At 43.2% G+C, this 6,502-nt stretch overlaps 1 annotated feature.

Annotated features, from left to right (window-relative positions):
* Positions 4,899-4,958: an enhancer, noted in NCBI's record as "active region_7976". NCBI's record gives its function as "activates an Ori minimal core promoter by ATAC-STARR-seq in GM12878 lymphoblastoid cells {active_cell/tissue: GM12878}" and the evidence as "EXISTENCE:reporter gene assay evidence [ECO:0000049][PMID:35858748]".

Genomic DNA, 6,502 nt, shown 5'->3' on the forward strand with positions numbered 1-6,502 from the left:
TTTGAGTTGGTGAGTGAGTGAGAAGCCCGGCCCTCAGTGTGGGCAGGCACCATCCAACTGAAATATATTGGACTAAAAGGCTAGAGTCCCGATGGCACAAAAGGGTGGGAGAAGGGTGAATTCTTTCTCTCACTTCAAGAGACGGGAAACCCTTCTTCTCCTGTCCTTCAATGTAGGAACCCCAGGCTCTCTGCCTTCAGACTTCGGGATCTGCATCAGTGGCCCCCTGGGCTCTTGGACTGAGAGTTACGCCATATGCTTCCTTGGTTCTGAGGCCCTCAGACTTGCAGTGAGCCACACCATTTTCCCTGGTTCTCCAGCTTGCAGATGGTGTATCGGGGGACTTAGTCTCCATAATCTAGTGAGCCAATTCTCCTAATAAAGATCTTCTTATATCTCTCTCTATATATGCTATTAATAACGTCTCTGAGGAGAACTCTGACTAAAGAGGTAGATACTATTACTCTGCACATATTAGAGAGGAGGGAAGTGAGGTGCAGGTTCAATAACTTGCTGAAGGTCAGTCATAGATGCTAAGTGACAGCACCTGGGCATGAACTTTGCAGCCTGGTGAGAGTCCATGCTGTATTTCCTTAATAAATGAGTGAAGAAAACATCATGTTCTTTCTTCTCAGTGCAAATAAATTTTAGAAAATTATAGTCATTTTTACTTTACTTGCCACTTTAAAATACGCTCACTGCATTACAATACCTGGAATGCATATTTCTGAGGCATATATTGTTATTTCTCAGCAGTATTTTCACTTCAAGGGCCCACATGGGGAGTGGCTACATCAAAATCACATGACTCCTAGTAGGTGGTGGCAATCAGGAGGACTGAAAATTAAGACTAAGGAGTTCAGTTCCAAATTCATTCCTCCTTCTCATTCCCAGATAATCAGTTGTGAAATACCAGCAATAACTTATTACACTTTAACTTCATTTCAGCTCAACTTAGTCTGCTGAGTTTCTAAAGATGGCAGCAATCCTGGGTGGGTACCTATAGCGAATCACTCACACCAACACCATTTGAGAAGACAGGACCAGCGCGGGCAGTGTGAAGGCTAGTAAGAACAGTAGTCTGTGCCGGAGATTGTAAACTGGTGACTTCGGGCCAAGCATGGTGACTTCAGGCATATAGCTGTGTTTAGTTAAGCCAGCTGAGTGTTTCACTTTTTAAAAATTAGCTGCCAATGTTTAAAAATTCACACACATTCAGATTTCCTTCTTCTTAGGAAACATCAGACGATCTGGCAATCTTGGGTTCTCACTGCTAATGCCAACAATGGATTGGACCTGAAGGCAGCTGCCCTGTTGAGATGTGTCATTCATTCTTCAAGTCTGACTAGCCCTGACCACGCACCATTTTCTTGCAGCTCCCTGAATTGGCTTATTTTGTGTATTAACGGAACAATGATTAGCAGTCAAGTTTGTGATTCCTGCCTATGCAAAATTTTCTGTTCTTTAATCTTGTGAAAAAGAAATCTCTGTCACATGATTAATCAATTCCAGTGTTGCATGATTAGATTTCAGACTGAAAGCTGTGTAAGAAAGGGAAAAGAACTTGGACTTTGGAGTCAGGAAACTCTAGGTTCAAATTTAGACCCTGTAAATTATTCACGTATAACCACTGAAAAGTTTCTTTCTCTCTTTGACCATTGTTTTCTTCCTGTGTAAAGTATAAAAAAAGACCATGTGGCAGAGAACTATGAGTACATATCTGGCATCCAACAGATGCCAGGTTTCTTCAACCTTTGCTATGACAAGTGTCACTAAAGAATCTGGAAAAAGACTTTGACTTTATTCTCAACAATTTCGGTCTGATAAGGGGGACAGACTAGTGTCCCATTATCTACGATGTTAACTTTGATCACCTGCTTATTGTGGATTTTTGCCAGGTTTCGCCACTGTAAAGTTACTATTTCCCTTTTTGTGATTAGTAAATAATTTGTTGGGAGCTATTTAGAGACATTGCAAATACCTTATTCTTCTTCAACCTTTACCCAATAGTTTAAAGATTCATAAATGGTTTTTGCCTGAATAAATTATTATGATAGTGGCCAAAAAATACCTGACCCTGGTTTTGGAAGTCAGGGAGCATAATCAGTATTTTCCAAGAAAGAGCCTGGGAAGGCCTCCCCCCGCCACCCCCATCCCCCGGACTGCAGGACATCATTGTTGGTATCCCTGCAATGAAAGAAATCCATTCTGCTATTCATCTTACTTTAATGCCTTGGGACTGAGTCAGGGAAGGTGTCTTGTCCTCTACGTATGATGGGGTAGACAGGAAGACATGGGGTCTTTCATTTCTGTGGTTGGACATGGTGAACTGACTTTCGTGGAGAATACACATAGTCAGAAACTGCAAAAATGCAAGATGCATGTTGCACTGGCATACCTGCGTTACTCCTTTAGAAACAATGAGTGCCCCATTCATCTCTGATCACAACCATTCATCTCTGATCAGAACTTCCATCCATCACCCTCCCTCTCCCTCACATTGCCTTGGCCAAACTGGCCTCCTCACTGTTTCTCAAACAGGTTGTGCACATTTCTGCCTCAGGGCCTTTGCACTGGCTGTTTTAGCTGATGGGAATCCTTTTCTCTACATATCCACATGGCTCTTCCCTTACTTCCTTACAATCTTTCCTCATTTGAGAAAGGCCTACTTTGACTACTCATTTAAAATTGCAGCACTCTCTCTCTAGGATTCCTTTTATCCTGAATAATTTTTTTTTCGGCTGCTCTATAGATAGAGCTGGGCTATCCCATAGGCAGAGCAGCCTGGTTTTCTTCTATCATTGTAGAAAGCTATGTAAGTTACTTTCTATATTGTCTTGATTATTCCTAATCAGTCCCCACTAGAATGTTAGTTTCACAAAGGCTAAATTTTTGTTGTTGTTCAGTTTTGTCTAAGAGCTGGAACAGTGTTTTGTTGGGTAAATATTGTTGGATGAATGAATGAATGAATGGTAGTTTCTGCTTAAAGTTCAATGATGGGGCAGACTTCCAGTTGGTTATGAAATAGAAGAAGAAAAATTAAATGATCTAGGAGAGTGGGACTATTCTCTGGCAAGGTTGCCCATGAAGACATTTGGTCTGGGCACCTGAGCCCTGTGCACCTGCCTTTTTTTTTTTTTTTTGAGATGGACCCTCACTCTGTCACCAGGCTGGAGTGCAGTGGCCTGATCTCGGCTCACTGCAAACTCCACCTCCCAGGTTCAAGCGATTCTCCTGCCTCAGCCTCCCAAGTGGCTGGGATTACAGACGTCCACCACCATGCCTGGCTAATTTTTGTATTTTTAGTAGAGATGGGGTTTCACCGTGTTAGCCAGGATAGTCTCGATCTCCTGACCTCGTGATCTGCCCGCCTCAGGCTCCTAAAGTGTTGGGATTACAGGCGTGAGCCACCGTGCCCAGCTGCGCCACCGTGCCTGGCTGCACCTGCCTCATTTTTATCTGCACGGCAGTTCTCTCTGCTTTCCTGATGGGTGGGTGGAAGGTGCCCTGCCACTCTAACCCAACAGGTCCTGCACTCAGAGTGCTTAGAACTGCGACCTTTATCTCTCATTATACCACATGCCATAGATCCTGGCATCCAAAGGGAGTGTAGATTTCTCTGTTTTGCTTTCAAATCCCAAACCCCTGGCAGAGACTCCTTGCTTCTGCTTGAGTCAGCTGCCACATCCTATGCTCACCTAACTGCGAGGGAAAAGGAGATCTCAGGGCTGCCTGAGGCTACCCTGTGGTCGCATGCTTGTGACTAGTGACCTTGCAAAGGGAAGGAGAACCTGCCTTCTCCTCGGGAGCCCTTGACTTCAAACAGTTGGGTGCATGTTGCTTCTGTTCCCTTTATCACCCTGGCATTTTGTTCTAATTTGTCCCTTTCTCCTTTCACTCTTTTTCTGATCCCCACTCACACTGGTCTTTGTTCTTGAGGTTAAAAGAAGCTCAGGCCAGCTTGATGCTTCTCAATGGACTCCCAGGCACCAGGAACACGATTGAAGGCGCTGGCCAGGCTCTGTCTCTCAGTCTCTCTGATGTGATGTGGGGCTCCTCAGATGGTGTGGCTGATGGAGGCCCCAGCTTCCCCCTTGGTGGTCACTGGTCAGTTTTCACTCTGTCTCTTATGCAGTGTATTAACCCCAGGGGGCATTGCTCTCTGCAGCAGACAGTGGAAACAGCCTGTTGGGAACGAGGCTGCCCATCCAGCTCCTTCGATCTTCTGATAAAAGCAGACTGGGGCGCAGTCAGCAGCAGTCGGATTCCTTTAAAGACCTGCCTGCCTTGCCAAGAGAAGGGTTGTTTGTTCAGGTTTGCACTTGGCTGGCATAAAAGGCATTGCAGGGACTGGAGTAATGGTATTCTCTTGGGTCTTGTCCAGAGTAACTTTAGAAAATAATTGATGAGCACTTGTTATTTTCCCCAGCTTAACATTCAACTTGTGGGTGATCCCCATTGTTAGACTTCACCTAAACCTGGCTTTGTGCCACTTTTTTTCTTAGACTTGGAAACTCAAAAGATTACATAAATTTGTTGGTTGTAAGTATTGGATGTCTTCCCATGGAGACTGGACCAGAGACAGCAATATAGTTCCAGGTAAATTTATGAGTTTTTATTCAGGTTGGACGTTTTGGCCTCATATGAGGACATTTTAGGGCATTTTGCTGCATTCCTAGAAAACACCTTCAAATGTTGAGCTGCCAGTGTGCTGTGGGGCAATTCTATATGGGGGTGCAAGGAACACTTCTGATGAACTGAGAAGGAAAAAATGGCTTCCTGACACTCTTGCTGGGCCACACAGGTCACCTACCAAGCCGATTCAATGGCTGAACTTTTGTATAAAAAAGCTAGATAAAGCAATCCCCTCTGGCAGAATGAAAGTTTCCATTAAATGTGAGCCAAGGGCCATCAGCTAAATTGAAAGATAAAGACATGCAAAGGGTATCTAGTGCCCTGGTGCATGTGGAACTGAACCGTTTTATCTAGAGGTCGAGGGAGTCATAGTGGACAAGGTCCCTTGAGGGGAAGTGGTGAAGCCAAGGGGCTGGAGGAGATGCTCAGGCTGAGAGTGACAAGCAGAAGCCAGGAAGCTTAGCCAGAGACATGAGCCTCAGGCAGAGCTGAGTGGTCTCTGCCTGGGGAGGAGAGAAGCAAAGACATGCCAATCAGAGAACAGAGTTCAGCTGCCAAAAAGTGCAATGAACCAGTTTTCTCTCCCCATCTCCTTACAATGGAAGGAAAATTAAAAACAAACAAACAATAGACTCTCACCCATACCTTTTATAGTGCATTTGTAGCTGTTATAATATTTTTATATAGATAATATTTTTTTGAATGAGTTCTGGAGATCTAATGTACAGCATGGTGACTATTGTTAACAATACTATATTGAATACTTGAAATTTGCTAAGATATTGATCTTAGGTATTGTCATAATATACAACAAATATTAACTCTGTGAGGTGATGAATATGTTAATTAGTTTGAAGCTGGTAATCCTTTCACAATGTGTATCAAAACATGTTGTACATCTTAAATATATACAACTTTTATTTGTAAATTATACCTCAAAAAAGCTGGAAAAGATAATGAAATAATATTTTGTGCTGGATGCTTTTTTGTTGGGAAATGGCCCTGCATCAATCACATGCTCTTGATGTCAAGTAAAAATTCTTCCTTTATCCCTAGATGGGACTCATTTTTACCTTTATAATTCTGGTTACAACAATATGAAACGGTACTGTGCAAGAGTTATTTTCTTTCATGCCTGCTGTTCGTGTTTAATGACTTGGATCTCTGTTTTAACACAATATCCACAACTTAAAACTCAGAGAACTGCCAACACAGATGCTAGTTTACTTTGTATAGCTCTAAGATGAGAACTTCAATTTCATATTGGGGGAAAGTCACCTACCACTCCCCTCCCTGCCCTTAGAGCTAGAACTTGTTTATGAAGCAACCTCAGCTAAATGCAAAGAAGATAAGCCAGAAGAGAGAGAGTACATGTCTATTCCAAGTCTGTTATGTTCCCTGTTCAGCGCGTGACAGCCTGAGCCTCAGTGGTTTTGACACTATGGTCCCATGAGCTCTAACTTCTGATGAGGTTTCCTGGGGATGTGCTAAGAGCCAAGCAGAGAGTCTGTCCTCCTGAAGTTCCACTTGGTCCGTTTTATATTTTGGGATTACCTGTCACATTTGTTTTAAAGATGGTTACTCTTGCTTAAAAATAAATTTAAAAATGGTTTCTGTATAACGCTTAGTCTTCACAACATTCCTGTGGGTTTGCTACCCTGATTTCCATTTAATAGATGAAAGAATTGGGGTCCTGGGTAGTCATCTGGTGCAGGATAACAGGTGGGTAAGTGGCCTCCCGCTCAGCATTTCTCCACAGTCTCACTTAGAAGCAAGGAAAGATGCCTCTGAGAGAAGGGACTTAAATATTCATACACTAATGCTTATGCATGTTCCTCACCAAGGAGTCCCTGACTGTCACTCTATA

The sequence above is a fragment of the Homo sapiens genome, chromosome 13 (genome assembly GCF_000001405.40).
Source record: "Homo sapiens chromosome 13, GRCh38.p14 Primary Assembly".
Classification (NCBI taxonomy): Eukaryota; Metazoa; Chordata; class Mammalia; order Primates; family Hominidae; genus Homo; species Homo sapiens.